The following is a 14351-nucleotide window of genomic DNA, read 5'->3' as shown; positions in this document are numbered from 1 at the left end:
CTTCATGCCCCCGACAGAGGGAAGCCCGGCTCCCAGGCAGGGCCTTGTGCGCCGGGGACAGGGCAGCTGGGTGGCGGTACCAGGCGTTGGCGGAGACGTGGGGCTCAAAGTCGTAGTGCACATCGGGCTCCTGGTCCCGCTGCAGCTGGCGCACGTGGGAGGCGTACTGCTGGCCTGGGTCATACAGCTTGCTGCTCTCACACAGCATCTGGAAGTGCACGGGCAGCGGCGCCGTCTGCATATGCATCATCTGGTAGTAGGAGATCGTGGCCTGCGGGCGGCACCGGAGAGCGGAGGGGTCAGGAGGAGGCCGCCCGGTCCACCATCCCCGCCCGGGCGGCCGGAGCACCCCACGCACCGACTTGATGGTTTGGTCGCTCTGCCGGATGACCTCCTGGATCTGCCGCAGCGCCGTCACCTTGGTATCCTCCAGCTCCTGCTTCTGCGTCTTCGCGTCGGCCACGCAGGTGCGGTAGGTGGCCATAGCTTCCTCCGCCTGCGGTGGGGGCGGGGCGCACAGAGAGAGGCCTCAGCCCGGGGTGCAGGACTCAGACAGAAACCTCAGGGAGGCGGGGCTGACGCCTGTCATCCCAGCGCCTCGGGAGGCCACAGTGGGAGACTTGCTTGAGGCCAGGAGTTCGAGACCAGCCTGAGCAACATGGTGAGACCCTCCCCATCTTTTTTTTTTTTTTTTTGAGATGGAGTCTTGCTCTGTAGGCCAGGCTGGAGTGCAGTGGTACGATCTCAGCTCACTGCAACCTCCACCTACCGGGTTCAAGCAATTCTGCCTCAGCCTCCCAAGTAACGGATTACAGGTGCCCCCCACCCACCATACCCGGTTAATTTTTTGTAATTTTAGTAGAGATACAGGGGTTTCACCATGTTGCCCAGGCTGGTTTCGAACTCCTGGCCTCATATGATCTGCCCGTCTCAGCCTCCCAAAGGGCTGGGATTACAGGTGTGAGCCACCACACTCAGCCTGAGACCCCCATCTTTATAAAGAATTTTTTTTTTTTTTTGAGACAGAGTCTCGTTCTGTCGCCCAGGCTGGAGTGCAGTGGCGCGATCTCGGCTCACTGCAAGCTCCACCTCCCGGGTTCATGCCATTTTCCTGCCTCAGCCTCCCGAGTAGCTGGGACTACAGGCGCCCACCACTACGCCCAGCTAATTTTTTGTATTTTTAGTAGAGACGGGGTTTCACCCTGTTAGCCAGGATGGTCTTGATCTCCTGACCTTGTGATCCACCTGCCTCGGCCTCCCAAAGTGCTGGGATTACAGGCGTGAGCCACTGCGCCCGGCCAAGAATTTTTTTAAATTAGCTGGGTGTGGCGGCACACGCCTGTGGTCCCAGCTACTCTAGAGGCTGAGGCGAGAAGATTGCTTGAGCCCAGGAGGTAGAGGCTGCAGTGAGCCATGATCACGTCACTGCACTCCAGCCTGGGTGACAGAACAAGACACTGTCTCAAAAATAATAATAATTTAAAAATCGGGGCCGGGCGCGGTGGCTCATGCCTGTAATCCCAGCACTTTGGGAGGCCGAAGTGGGTGGATCATGAGGTCAGGAGTTTGAGACCAACCTGGCCAAGATGGTGAAACTCTGTGTCTACTAAAAATACAAAAAAATTAGCTGGGCTTGGTGGCAGGGTGGCTGAGGCAGAGAACTGTGTGAACCTGGGAGGCGGAGGTTGCAGTGAGATCTCACCACTGCACTCCAGCCTGGGCAACAGAATGAGACTCTGTCTCCAAAAAACAAATTGGCCGGGCGCAGTGGCTCATGCCTATAATCCCAGCACTTTGGGAGGCCGAGGTGGACGGATCACGAGGTCAGGAGATCGAGACCATCCTGGCTAACACAGTGAAACCCCGTCTCTACTAAAAATACAAAAAATTAGCCAGGCGTGGTGGCGGGCGCCTGTAGTCCCAGCTACTCGGGAGGCTGAGGCAGGAGAATGGCGTGAACCCGGGAGGCGGAGCTTGCAGTGAGCCGAGACTGTGCCACTGCACTCCAGCCTGGGCGACAGAGCAAGACTCCGTCTCAAAAACAAACAAAAAAACAAAAAAACAAAAACAAAGGTCTGGAGGTAGTAAATGTCACACCAAGCATTGGATCTCCTCCTCCAGGGACCTCCAGCCCTGCCTCCACCCGCCCTCACCTTGTTCTTGGCCTCCTCCTCCAGCCGCCGCCGCTTGTCCAGGGTCTTGGTGGCCGTGCTGCCTGCTCCCGGCGCGCTGCCAGCCTGCTCCTCCTCCGCCTTGGCCACGAGGAAGCGAGCCTTGTCGTGGTCCTCGCAGCGCTGCACGTAACCCTGCTTGGCCTTGCGCAGGTTGGACTCCGCCTCTTGCTGTGGGTGTGGGAGCCAGGAGGCCAGTTCCAACCCTATCCTCGGATGGGACTCAGTCTCCCCAGCTCCTCCTTTCCTCCCCACCCCCATCTCTCTCAGCAAGGCCCCATGGCCCAGCTGGGCATGCAGAGGACCCTGCACAACAATCGGCAGCGGAAAAACAGGAGGAGTGGCCGGGCGCGGTGGCTCACGTCTGTAATCCCAGCACTTTGGGAGGCCGAGGCAGGTGGATCACTTGAGGTCAGGAGTTTGAGACCAGCCTGGCCAACATAGTGAAACCCCGTATCTACCCAAAATTTAAAACAATTAGCCGGGCATTGTGGTGCACGCTTGTAATCCCAGCTACTCGGGAGGCTGAGGCACTAGAATCGCGAACAGCTTGAACCCAGGAGGCGAAGGTTGCAGTGAGCCAAGATTGCATGCACCACTGCACTCCAGCCTGGGCAACAGAGATTCCAGCTCAAAAAAAAAAAAAAAAAAAAGAACGGGAGGAGGCACCCGTAACAGGACACTCGGAGAAATGGGTGTCCTGTGTGCCCACTCTGCAGCCCGGGAAGCTGAGGTGCAGCCAAGCTCTGCACAGAGGCTCACACGGCAGCCTCTGCAGACACGCACACCAGCCCCCACGGGAGCGTCTCCGGGCTCTTTTGCTTTCACTTCCCTCCTCACAGACGAGAACAGAGAAGCCGCCCAGGCAGGAAGCCAGGCGCCCACAGGTTGGCAGGAAGAGCACTTAGTCAAAAACCTGTGGGCTCGGGGGCCACACCTCACAACCTGCACCATCAGATTCGCACACAAACAAACGGACTCATCCAATTACTAGGAGACCGCCAGGCGCCATGGGTCACACCTGTACTCCCAGTGCTTTGGGAGGCCGAGGCAGGAGGATCACTTGAGGCCAGGAGTTTGAGACCAGCCTGGTCAACATAGTGAGACCCCATCTCTACAAAAAAATTAAAAAATTTAGCCAGACGTGGTGGCGCACACCTGTGGTCCTAGCTACTCGAGACCAGCCTGGCCAACATGATGAAACCCCATCTCTACCAAAGATATAAAAATTAGCCAAGCACGGTGTCTTATGCCTATAATTCCAGCACTTTGGAAGGACAAGGTGGGCAGATTACCTGAGGTCAGGAGTTCGAGACCAGCCTGGCCAAGGTGGTGAAACCCCATCTCTACTAAAAATACAAAAATTAGCCAGGCATGTTGGCTGGCGCCTGTAATCCCAGCTACTTGGGAGGCTGAGGCAGAAGAATCGCTTGAGCCCAGGAGATGGAGGTTGCAGTGAGCTGAGATCGATCCACTGCACTGCAGCCTGGGCAACAGAGTGAGGCTCTTGTCTCAAAAAAAAAAAAAAAAAAAAAAAAAAAAAAGACTACTGCCAACAATCACAGGTTTCTACCTGGCAAAATAGGCCACAGGTAAAAATCAAAAGTCAAACAGTAAATTGTGGGAGGGGAATGGGGGGAGTCTAAAACTCACATGATTAAGGCCTAAGTTCTCTAATATGTAAAAAGCTCTGACAAATCAATGATAAGCCACTGTCCAGTACAAAGTAAGCAAAGGATAAGAACTAAGCAAAGGTTAAGAACTGAGGGTTCACAGAAGAGGAAAAGCAGGGCTGTGGCCTGGGAGGGTAGCTCATACACGCACGCCCCTTGACCCAGCAGTTCTATTTTGGGCACTGATCCCTCAGGCATCCTTGAGACAGGGGCACAAGCTTGTCATAGCAATGGTGTTCGTAACAGCAACAGCTCAGCCACTCCCAAGACGTCCATGAAATAACCTACTCAATCTCCTCAGCTGAGCCCTGCACAGCCGAAAAAAGGGGTTCAGGCTGCTTCATGCTGACTGATATCGGGTGAGCCTCTCTATATGGAGGTGAGGATAAAAATCAGGAGCAGAACAGGGCATGAGGTGAGCTGTCCTCGTGTGTACAAAACAGGGCAGATATGTGTTTGCCGGTATGTGCTGGAAGGAGCTAGGAGGGTGCGTTTCACTGCAGACCGTGTTAACACAGCTAAAAAGCAAACAAAAACTGGGCAACATAGTGAGTATACAAAAAATACAAAAAAATGAACTGGGTGTGATGGCTGGTGCCTGTAGACCCAGGAACTCAGGAGGCTGAGGTGGGAGGATCATTGCAGCCCAAGAAGGCAAGTCTGCAGTGAGGTATGATTGCGTCACTGCAGTCCAGCCTGGGTGACAGAGCGAGACCTTATCTCAAAACAAGCAAAGAAACAAACAAAAAGGCGCCGGCGTCTTTGAAATAACCCAAAAGCGAAGTGGGAAGAGAATACAGGCAGGAGGCCGGGTGGGTGCGGTGGCTCACGTCTGTAATCTCAGCACTTTGGGAGGCCGACGCGGGTGGATCACCTGAGGTCAGGAGTTCGAGACCAGCCTGACCACTATGGTGAAACCCCGTCTCTACTAAAAATACAAAAATTAGCCAGGTGTGGTGGCGTGCTTCTGTAATCCCAGCTACTCGGGACGCTGCGACAGGAGAATTGTTTGAACCAGGGAGATGGAGGTTGCAGTGAAAGCCTAGATGGTGCCATGGCACTCCAGCCTGCAGCCTGGGCGACAGAGCGAGACTCCGTATCAAAAAAAAAAAAAAAAAGAATACATGCAGGAGCATGGCGCTTTCCCAGTCCTGAGAGACCATCAGTCTCCCTCAACCCGGAGACCAGCTGCTTACAACCGAGGGAGGCACGGCTTCTCCCCATTTCTGCAGGGACAGCAGTGAGCGCCGGGCTCCTGGGTCCTTCCAGGCAGAGCTGGGGGCGACGGGGCTGGAGCATCTCCGACCCGGCTTGGCGTTGGGGGGGGCGGCCCAGCCTGCGAGGCCGCGCATGCGCAGGAGGCCGGGGCGTGTGCGGAGCTCGCCGCAGGGCCCTCGCTATGGGGCTGGGGCTGGGACTGCGCCTGCGCCGAGGCCCGCTGCCCGCCCCCGCCCGCCCCCGCCCGCCCGCCTCACCAGCTTCCTCTGGGCACGGTGCCAGGCCTCCTTGATCTCCTTCCTGCGCTTCTCGTGTTCAAGCCGCCGCAGGGTCAGGGGCTGGGGCGAGACGGGCCGTGAGTGGGTACCCCGGTGACACCCCCGCCCAGCCCGCCCTCCCGGGCACCACGCACCTGCATGAAGGTCTGGGTCTGCAAGGTGCCCACCGCCTGCACCATGCTGTGGCCGAACTCCAGGTCCTGCTCCAGGGCCAGCGAGTAGATGGACAGGAGCGGCATGTGGGGCTGTGGGTGGGGCACCGGCTCACTGGGTGGGGAGGGATGGAGGCAGGGCGGCCCCAGCACCCCCAGCCACCAGCTCCCTGGTCCCTGCAGCCACCCCCGTTAATGTAGAGGGGAAGCCCCTGCTCTTGGTCCCTGGGCCCTTGAAATGGGGCTGAGACTCACACCCGGGCCCAGGGACCCCCGCCCCGTGCCCGCGGGGCCCCCACCTCCTGCATGACGCTCTGTCTGCAGTTGTGAGCGATCTTCTGCAGGCCCTTGGCAAACTCCATCTCTGCGGGCCGGAGAGGGGTGTGAGGTGCTGGGACAAGGCCTTCCCAGCTCACCCAGAACCCCCTCCCTCCAGACCCACCCTGCTGGGACACCAGCTCTCACCCAGCGTCGTCCGCTTCTCCAGGTAGCTGATGAGGTCCTTCATGTACTTGGCCATGTTCTTGGCATACAGCAGTGCGGCATCCACGCCCCCCTCACAGCGCTGTAGCAGCACGTCCACCTCCTCGGCGGGCAGGCAGCCTGCAGGGAACGGGGGCCTGCTCAGCCTGGCCCGACCCGCGCAATGGCCCACCCCTCAAATGCCTGCCTGCCGCTGGGTGGGGGCTTACCGGCGTCACAGTCTTCCAGGCTGGGAGGCGTGCCCTCACTGCCCGGTCCATACAGGCTTTCCATGGACTGTAGGACGGAGACGCAGGTGAGACCAGCCCCATGCGGGGCCCTGGGCAGTGCCCACCCTTCAGGGGACGGTTGCTGCCTCCCCCAGAGAGGGAAACCAAGGCGCACAGGGGAAGCAGGGTGACTGTCTGGGCCCTGCAGACCTGAACCCGGCTGGCCTCCAGAAGCTGGACACAGGTGGCCCTGGCCCACCCCACTCACCTGGCTCGAGTCCCCAGGAGGCACTGCTAGGAGGGTGCTGCTGTCCACTTCACCCATGAGGAACTCGGACACTCTGCAGGGCCAGCGAGGTCACCATCGAGAGACACCCGGGCCCCCCACGCTCCCTTGCCCTGCCCCACAGGCTCCCGTGCTCACGTGCTACTGAAGGCCACAGCAATCGTCTCCAGGGCCTTCTCGAACTCCTGTTTCTCCAGATCATTGTTGCTCTCATAATGGAAGGCTGGGAAGCAGAGATAAGGACAAGGAGGTGGGCCCACTCTGGGAGGTGACCATCCCTGCAAGAACTGACCGGAGCCCTTAACCCAGGGGGAACAGGAGGGAGCTTGTGCCTGTCAAACTCCTATGCATCCTTCAAAACCCACTTCAAACATCCCCTCCTCCAGGATGCCCTTCTAGGCAGAGAGCCCTCGCAGCCCTGTTCCAGCAGGCTGACCTTTGACCTTGGCAATGAGGGTGCCGGCTGCGGTGAGCGTCTCCACGGTGTTCAGCAGCGGGTACTTGGAGATGATCTGATGCATGACACGCAGAGCCTCACCCAGGCACTCGTGGGCCCGCGGGCGGCGGGCCTCAAGGAGGTCTGCTGGGGAGAGTCGGAGTGAGCAGTGGGGTAGGGCCCAGTCCCAGGGAAAGTCTGTCCACCTCCTCCCTCTTTAGAGCTCCTGTTCCCAGATGGGGAAACTGAGGCAGAGGTGGAAGACGGCAGATGCCTGGGGCTCATTTCGAGACCGCGGGGAGGGCACTGTCCCTCCCTGGGCTACCGGCCAGATCAACAAAGGCCAGACGTTGGCCTAGGCACTCTGCTGCTCAGAACACTCTTTTCTTGTCCCTCCAGAAAGCAAACTGCCTCTTGTCCTTCAAGCTACAGTCCTGCAGCCCCTTCCTCCATGCAGCCCACCAGGCTCCTTCCCTGCCCTAACTCCTCAGGACTGCTCAAAGCCCTGTCCAGGTCTCTCTCTGCCCTTCCTAAGTGAGGAAACTGAGGCATAGAGAGGGGAAGCCATTTCTCAACAATCACACAGCTTTTCCATCTACGCTAGCTCTGAAGGCGTGAGAACGCCAGGCAGAGGGATCCTGCCTGGCTTTATCTCCAGGGCAATAGGGAGCCATAGAAGGTGTTAGAACAGAGGAGGTCAGATCTGACTGTTGGAACCTGGCTTTCACTGCCCTCCTCAGCCAGGGGTGGTGGCTTACACCTGTGACCCCAGCACTTTGGGAGGCTGAGGCAGGAGGACGGGTTGAGCCCAGGAATTCAAGACCAGCCTGGGCAATACAGTAAGACCCTGTCTCTGTAAGAAATAAAATAAAGAATAAAAAGCTAAATGCCCTCATCGAACGTTCTCAATTGGAAGAAGAAAAAAGCAGAGAGGGCCAAGCACAGTGCCTCATGCCTGTAATCCCAGCACTTGGTGAGGCCGAGGCAGGCAGATCACTTGAGGTCAGGAGTTTGAGACCATCCTGGCCAACATGGCGAAACCCTGCCTCTACTAAAAATACAAAAAGTAGCAGCGTGGTGGCACTCCTCTGTAATGCCGGCTACTCGGGAGGCTGAGGCAGGAGAATCGCTTGAAGCTGGGAGGCGGAGGTTGCAGTGAGCCGAGATCGCGCCACTGCACTCCAGCTGGGTGACAGAGTGAGACTCCTCCATCCCAAAAAGAAAGGAAAGAAAAGAAAGAAAGAAAAGGAAAGAAAAGAAAAGAAGGAAAGAAAAGAAAAAAGCAGAGAGTACAGGCGAAACATCGAGAGCCAGGCACACACCACGTAGTGGAAACAAACCCACGGAATTCGTAGGAGGGGAAAGGTACCCGGGAGGACAGAGGCCAGCGGGAGGGGCAGCTTTGACGCCTGACTGTACCGCTCAGAGGATGCCCCAAATACGAAATGAAATCTGAAAAAGTAAGTGCCCCATCCCTTTCGGCACCGAAGACCCCAGGTGAATGTCACCTCCGGGAAGAGACCGACCGAGTCACCCGCCAGAGATACCCCGCTGGCCGCCGCCGGGCCTGAGACCCCGGACCGGAACATGTCTTCGCTGCTGGATGCGAGGCGGACTCCGGGAATGGGATTGGGGCTCCAGGAGCTCCGGGAAGCCGCTGGGAGGCCCCGGCCACGCCCCTTCTCGGGACCTTCCAGCCGGGCACCCGGCACTCCGCGCGCGGCCGGCGCACGGACCCCCGGCTGTCCCCGCACACCCCCTACCCGGGAAGCCGGCGGCCGGCGCGACCCCTGCGCAGCGCAGGGATGCCCAGGTGCGCACGGCCAGGCCAGGCGCGCGGCAGCCGCTGCTCCCCCACCGCGGGCGGCAAACGGCCCGAGCGCCACGTGCTCCCGGACGCGGCGGGACCCAGCGCCCGGCACCTGTCCCCTCACCTCGGGGGCCCGCCCGGCAGCGCACGGGGCCCTCGTCCAGCACCGGGTGCGCCGTCCCGCAGATACACATGGCGCAGCCGTCGGGGCGCGGAGACCGCGAGCGCGTGGGGCCTGGCAGCTGACCGATGGGGGTCTCCGGTGGCCAAACCGGCTCCGGCCGGTCAGGAGGCCCCGCCCCCGCGAGGGAAACCCCGCCCTGGGGTCCCGTTCGCCCCAGCCTGGGTCCTTCCTTAACCGCAGAGCTTCGAGGTGGGGAGGGTCGAGGACGGGCAGGGAAACTGAGGCCCAGACCTGAAGCCCGGGAACGAGGAAGCCCGGGAAGTGTCGGGGTGGCACCGTCCATGTGGGTCCCCTCCTAGCTGCCTGAACGCGGGTCCCCAAGCTGTGGGGTGGACCCCACAACCATCGCTGCATGCAGGTGGCCCCATTTTATAGATAAGTCACCTGACACCTAGAGAGGGAAGGGGCTTGCCAGGGTCTCAGCAGCTGAGAAACATCGGGACTAGAGCCCACATCCTAGCCGCCAGGGTCTTCTCTGGCCTGGGGCGGCCCCGAGACGCACAGAAGGCGCCCCCAGCCGGGCGCGGTGGATCAGGCCTGTTATCCCAGCACTTTGGGAGGCGGAGCCGGGAGAACGGTTTTTAGCTCGGGAGTTCTAGACCAGCCTGCGCAATATGGGGAGACCCCGGTCTCTACAAAAAATACAAAAACTGGCCGGGCGCGATGGCTCACGCCTGTAATCCTGGCGCTTTGGGAGGCCGAGGTGGGTGGATCACTTGAGATCAGGAGTTCAAGACCAGCCTGGCCAAAATGGTGAAACCCCATCTCTACTAAAAAAAAAAAAAAAAGAAAGAAAAAAAATTAGCCGGGCACGGTGGCGCGCCCCTGCAATCCCAGCCACTCGGGAGGCTGAGGCAGAAGAACCACTTGAACCCAGGAGGTGGAGGTTGCAGTGAGCTGAGATCTCGCCCCTGCACTCCAGCCTGGGTGACAGAGTGAGACTCTGTCTCAAAAAAAAAAAAAAAAAAAGAAAAGAAAAGAAAAAGAAAGAAAAAAAGAAAAGCCCGGGCACGGTGGCTCATGCCTGCTGTAATCCCAGCACTTTGGGAGGCTGAGGCATGCGGATCACGAGGTTAGGGGTTTGAGACCAACCTGGCCAATATGGTGAAACCCCATCTCTACTAAAAATACAAAAATTAGCCAGGTGTGGTGGCACGCACCTGTAGTCCTAGCTACTCGGGAGCCTGAGGCAGAAGAATCACTTGAACCCGAGAGAGGAAGGTTGCAATGAGCCGAGATCGCGCCACTGCACTCCAGCCTGGGCGACAGAGTGAGACTCCATCTCACCATCTCAAATAAAATAAATAAAATAAAATAAATCAGGTGCAGTGGCTCATGCCTGTAGTCTCAGGTACTCGGGAGGCAGAGGTAGGAGGATGGCTTGAGCCCAGGAGTTCAAGGTAACAGTGAGCCTCAATCACACCACTGGACTCCAGCCTGGGCAACAGAGCAAGACCCTGTATCAAAAAAAAAAAAAAAAAAGTGCCCCACCCTGGCTGGCCCAGTTCAGACCTCCTGCAGGAGCCTGGGAGCTGAGCCCCGCCCAGGCCAGGCCTCCAAGGAAGCGCCAGGATCGGAAAGGAACCGAGATTAGGGTTTCCCCAGGAAAGCAGCCTAGCCCCCGCCCCTGGGACCAGATAACCCGGGGGCTCCCACTCCTCCCAGTGGGGACCGGGCCTTCCCCAACTAGTGCCCTGAAGGTGCAGAGGCCACTCCACCACTTGAGGTCCAGTCCTGGCTCTGCCCTGCCCTGGCTGGGTGAGCCAGGGGTCAGGGCCTCACTAGAGACTTAGTTTCGTCATCTGTAAAATGGGCGGCTGCTGGGAGCAGATCAGAGCGCCTGGCATGACCCTGGCACTGTGGTTTCTGGGAGGAGCCGGGGGCTGAAGGCAGCACATGAGGTGCCCGCCTGGGCTGCCAGGGACAAACAGGAAGCAGATGAAAATAACTCGGCAGGAAGCAGGGCTGTCAGCGGCCGCGTGGAGGAGAAAACGGAACTGCCGGCCTGCAGGCCGCTGGGTCCCAGCACCTCCGCCGCCTGATGACCCCATCCTGCCCCTCGCCATGCCTCCTGAATCTCTCTCCACCCAGACCTCAGCCAACCCCCAGTTTGCTTCATTCCAAGACACAGATCTGCCCCCATCTGTCCTGTGCTCTAACACCTTCTATGGCTCCCCATTGCCCTTCTGCCTGGCGTTGTCATGCCTTCATCCTACACCAGCGGCACCCCACACCTTGGCCCCCAAATGCATTCTCTGTTTCCGTGTTTCTGAGCCTGTGCATGGGACATTTCCTCTGCCTTTCCCTCCTAATTGCCATCAGATCCTTTAAAAAAAATAAAGTGGGCACCCTCTTGAGCCAGTGTACGCTCAGGGACTCCCCCACCAAACTCCTACACATCCCTCAGAGCCTTAGCTGTCATGGCCTCTTCCACACAGCCCTCCCTGCCATCTGAGCCTCCCTCCCTTCTGAGCCTCCCCAAGTCCCTCCCTCCATCCTCCCTTGGGTCTGGCTCTGTCTTCCACCCAGGCCTCGGTGTCCCCGTGGCTCTCACCGTCACGCAACACACACTCCTTAAGTTTCTCAAGGCCCTCAGCGAAGCGGGCCACGTCCGCCAGCAGATGGGAGATGTCCTCGACGACGTCCGGGCCGGCACCCTCGGTGGGCAGCTCGCCCGGGCTGGCGGCTGTCAGTGGGCTCCGGTGGCTCCGGCCCAGTGTCCAGGAGGCAGCACCCGACAGGGGGAAGCCAGCCGCGCTGGCGTGGCGGCTCAGGCTGGTGGGCCGCTTGAGGGTCCCTGTGGCCTTGACGCCGGAGGACCCAGCGGGCGGCTCCAGGCTTGGTCCGGGGAACACCGCGTCAGCCCCATCCTTCCTGGGCAGCTCCTTGGGCAGGTCCGAGGGGAGCTCGTTAAAGGGATTTTCCGGCCTGGACACGGCCTCAGTTTCCCCAGAAATGAAGTGGGGCTGTGGAGGGCCACCATCACCCTGACCCCACAGGGGTCAAAGGCCAGAGGTCACAGGGCCGAGATTTGGTAGTGTACCCCCCCACCTGTTACCCAACATCCTCTTCCCTAGAGCTTTCACAAACAACGGTCCTTGCCCAAACCACAGCCGGGGCGGGGCCTGCGGGGAGGCGCGGGAGGGGGGTCCCCACTTCCTGGTGGGGGTGGGGAGGGTCCTCAGCCCTTCAAGCCCCCCTCAGGCTCCTACAACGCAGGTGCTTTAAGTGAACACACTTCTGACTCTGTCTGTCCCCTAAAGGTCCATGGAACCCCAGAGCCTATGGGCAGCCCCAGGCCTTGTAGACATCCCGGACCCCCAAGCTCTGTAGACCCCCCCCCCAGCTTTGTAGACACCCCAGGCCTGGGGACACTCCCCAACCTCTGAACCTGGTGGATCCCATTAGAGGATCTGCTGCCCGGTCAACCTTCAGCCCAATGGCCAGGCCACAGCCCTCCCATCTCAACGGCCCCTAGAGCCCCCAGATTGCCTAAGCCCCCAACCTGCAGCGGCCCAAACACAACATCGTCCCAACCCGGCACCCTCCCTTCCTGCTCCCTGGGCCCCGCGGCCAGCCCTGGATGGAGTGGAGGGAGGCGGCCACCACTCCCAGGGTCCCTACCGTGAGCTGAATGCCGGGGTCCCGGCCTCTCTGCTGTGGCCCCTGCCGTCCCGCCCGGTAGGGGCTGTAGCTGGCACGAGCCCCCAGCCGCCGCCCCAGCATGAGCCCCGAGCACAGGGCGGGTCCCTGTCCCCCTGCGGCCCGGCGTCAGCTCCGGGTCTCACCCGGGCTCCACTCACCCCCGAGGGCTGCGGGCTGGGGCTTCCCGCGCGGTTCTTTTTCGAGATGGAAGGGGTTTTCATGAGCTCTCGTTTCTTCCTGGAGAACATGATGGGGCCCCGGCCGGGAGCCCGAGGGGGCGGGCTGGGGGTCTCAGCGCTGCAGCTCCCGGCGCTGGCCGCTTCGGGACCACATTGTCGCCGGCCACCCCCTCCCCAGCTGTCAGGCCCACGTGACAGGCCCGGCCGTCACTGGCGGGCCCTCCCCCCAACAGGAAAAGGCTTCGGGGAGGCGGCGACGCGGCCTCGCCCCCGACCCTTCCCGGCCTCAGCCTGCGGCTCTGCGGAGTGGGCGCGAAGGTGAGGTCGCAGGCCCCGCCCCCAGCCCCGGGCCGCGCCCCCCGCTTCCGCCTTCGGGAGCTCGGAGCCGCGCCGCTCGCGGGGTGGGACCGGGAGCCCCTGCCTGACGCTGGCGGGCACGGGGCGGCCGACTGCAGGGCGCTGACTCTCACTCCCGGACGCGAGTGGGCGTGCACAGACACGTGCACGATGACACGCAGAGACCCGGACCTCCACACGCGCTCAGACGCCACCAAGCCCCTGGAGCCTCGCCCTCAGACCCCAGACACACGCACAGGCCGAAGCTGCGCCCCTGCAGCCCCCTTTTCCCTGAAGGCAAGCCCGCTCCACCGCCTCTCCTGCAGACCCTAGGGTGTGGCCGGGCCCCAGCAGGGCCGGGCAGAGTAGGGTCCCCCCCATCACCCGCCCTGCAGCCCCGTGAAGTGGGTCAGGTCGAGGACAGGTGGGGAAACTGAGGCCCAGAACCGAAACCCTGGGGGCAAAGACGTCCAGGAAGTCAGAACAATCCAGGTTACCGGGCCCTGTCCGTCTGGGTCCCCACGTCCGTCTGGGTCCCCACGTCCACCTGGTCCTGGGCTGCCTGCACAGGGGTCCCCAAAGTGTGGTGTGGACCCCACCATCGGCAGAATATGCTGAGGACACCTGGTTACCTCTCAGCAGCCCTGTGGGCCATATCATGTTGCCCCAGACCTGCCCTTAGCTAAGGTCCCCAGCCCCGCCTCCCAAGCTGCATTCCAGTGACTCTGGACCACCGGACGTGCTGGGCAGCAGGACGCAGGCACCCGTTGCTGATAACAGCCTGAGGCGGCATTGGCCAAGAGCTGGGGCATCTGCAGGCATACAGATCCCAGCCTCCTACCTTCCCCCAACCCCCACCCCGCAGTGTGAACTCTCTCCCCCCTCCCCAAGTCTCCCTGCTGTCCCCTTCCAGAACCCCACCCCCAATCCCAAAACCCCAACCTCTTTCCTTTCCCAAACCCCATTCCCACCTACCTCGGGTGGGAGGGGCAGATCTCTGGGGCACAGGACATGAAGGCCACAGCCCCTTGCTCCAAGTCTGGCTCTCCAGGCCCAGGTCCAAGTGCAAACCCAGCCCAGCAGACCCTTGAGAACTCTTTGCCCCCGACTCATGGCGCTGAGGGCTGGGGTCAGAGGGTGAGGGTCAGCTGGATGTCGGATGGGCTTCTGGCCCGGCCCTGGCCTGTGCTCCGGGACACCGGGCTCCTGTAAGCTTCCCAGGACATTCCTGAGTCCTGACCTCATCCCCACTTTATGGCCAGGCACTTACAGGTACCGCCCTTAGGCGCCA

The 14351-nt window shown here is 60.6% G+C and overlaps 1 protein-coding gene across 11 annotated transcripts in view, besides 11 other annotated features; it reads right to left on the bottom strand.

The window, feature by feature from the left end:
• The window catches only part of ARHGAP45 (Rho GTPase activating protein 45), a 20670-nt gene extending 6430 nt beyond the window's left edge, over window positions 1–14240 (bottom strand). For 2 of the 11 annotated variants that reach the window (XM_047438546.1, XM_047438548.1), the window contains exons 1-14: window positions 14036–14240; window positions 12704–13622; window positions 11455–11785; window positions 6907–7050; window positions 6609–6693; window positions 6453–6525; window positions 6185–6251; window positions 5958–6095; window positions 5792–5856; window positions 5475–5585; window positions 5320–5400; window positions 2154–2342; window positions 359–496; window positions 81–271 (exon numbers count right to left, since the gene is read on the bottom strand). In XM_047438546.1, the coding sequence (XP_047294502.1) occupies window positions 81–271; window positions 359–496; window positions 2154–2342; window positions 5320–5400; window positions 5475–5585; window positions 5792–5856; window positions 5958–6095; window positions 6185–6251; window positions 6453–6525; window positions 6609–6693; window positions 6907–7050; window positions 11455–11785; window positions 12704–12793 (1703 nt within the window). In that variant the 5' untranslated portion in view covers window positions 12794–13622; window positions 14036–14240. Of the gene's footprint in view, window positions 1–80; window positions 272–358; window positions 497–2153; window positions 2804–5040; window positions 5257–5319; window positions 5401–5474; window positions 5586–5791; window positions 5857–5957; window positions 6096–6184; window positions 6252–6452; window positions 6526–6608; window positions 6694–6906; window positions 7051–8840; window positions 8990–11454; window positions 11786–12524; window positions 13623–14035 lie in introns of those variants that run through there. The other 9 variants (XM_047438545.1, NM_001258328.4, XM_011527858.1 and 6 more) reach the window with 7 other exon arrangements.
• Window positions 2664–2753: a silencer, noted in NCBI's record as "silent region_9662". NCBI's record gives its function as "represses an Ori minimal core promoter by ATAC-STARR-seq in GM12878 lymphoblastoid cells {active_cell/tissue: GM12878}" and the evidence as "EXISTENCE:reporter gene assay evidence [ECO:0000049][PMID:35858748]".
• Window positions 2924–3063: an enhancer, noted in NCBI's record as "active region_13581". NCBI's record gives its function as "activates an Ori minimal core promoter by ATAC-STARR-seq in GM12878 lymphoblastoid cells {active_cell/tissue: GM12878}" and the evidence as "EXISTENCE:reporter gene assay evidence [ECO:0000049][PMID:35858748]".
• Window positions 4435–4729: an enhancer, noted in NCBI's record as "tiled region #10458; K562 Activating DNase unmatched - State 1:Tss". NCBI's record gives its function as "activates a minimal TATA promoter and a strong SV40 promoter by Sharpr-MPRA in K562 cells {active_cell/tissue: K562}" and the evidence as "EXISTENCE:reporter gene assay evidence [ECO:0000049][PMID:27701403]".
• Window positions 5101–5630: a silencer, noted in NCBI's record as "silent region_9661". NCBI's record gives its function as "represses an Ori minimal core promoter by ATAC-STARR-seq in GM12878 lymphoblastoid cells {active_cell/tissue: GM12878}" and the evidence as "EXISTENCE:reporter gene assay evidence [ECO:0000049][PMID:35858748]".
• Window positions 5641–5750: a silencer, noted in NCBI's record as "silent region_9660". NCBI's record gives its function as "represses an Ori minimal core promoter by ATAC-STARR-seq in GM12878 lymphoblastoid cells {active_cell/tissue: GM12878}" and the evidence as "EXISTENCE:reporter gene assay evidence [ECO:0000049][PMID:35858748]".
• Window positions 10733–10892: an enhancer, noted in NCBI's record as "active region_13580". NCBI's record gives its function as "activates an Ori minimal core promoter by ATAC-STARR-seq in GM12878 lymphoblastoid cells {active_cell/tissue: GM12878}" and the evidence as "EXISTENCE:reporter gene assay evidence [ECO:0000049][PMID:35858748]".
• Window positions 11283–11382: a silencer, noted in NCBI's record as "silent region_9659". NCBI's record gives its function as "represses an Ori minimal core promoter by ATAC-STARR-seq in GM12878 lymphoblastoid cells {active_cell/tissue: GM12878}" and the evidence as "EXISTENCE:reporter gene assay evidence [ECO:0000049][PMID:35858748]".
• Window positions 11913–12152: a silencer, noted in NCBI's record as "silent region_9658". NCBI's record gives its function as "represses an Ori minimal core promoter by ATAC-STARR-seq in GM12878 lymphoblastoid cells {active_cell/tissue: GM12878}" and the evidence as "EXISTENCE:reporter gene assay evidence [ECO:0000049][PMID:35858748]".
• Window positions 12463–13222: a silencer, noted in NCBI's record as "silent region_9657". NCBI's record gives its function as "represses an Ori minimal core promoter by ATAC-STARR-seq in GM12878 lymphoblastoid cells {active_cell/tissue: GM12878}" and the evidence as "EXISTENCE:reporter gene assay evidence [ECO:0000049][PMID:35858748]".
• Window positions 12463–13589: a biological region, named in NCBI's record as "H3K27ac-H3K4me1 hESC enhancer GRCh37_chr19:1066609-1067115".
• Window positions 13083–13589: an enhancer, noted in NCBI's record as "H3K27ac-H3K4me1 hESC enhancer chr19:1066609-1067115 (GRCh37/hg19 assembly coordinates)". NCBI's record gives its function as "activates a minimal SCP1, AML or CMV promoter by ChIP-STARR-seq in naive H9 embryonic stem cells {active_cell/tissue: H9 hESC(naive)}" and the evidence as "EXISTENCE:reporter gene assay evidence [ECO:0000049][PMID:30033119]".

This window comes from Homo sapiens, chromosome 19, assembly GCF_000001405.40.
Source record: "Homo sapiens chromosome 19, GRCh38.p14 Primary Assembly".
Classification (NCBI taxonomy): Eukaryota; Metazoa; Chordata; class Mammalia; order Primates; family Hominidae; genus Homo; species Homo sapiens.
This window is presented reverse-complemented; position numbering and strand designations above follow the sequence as displayed.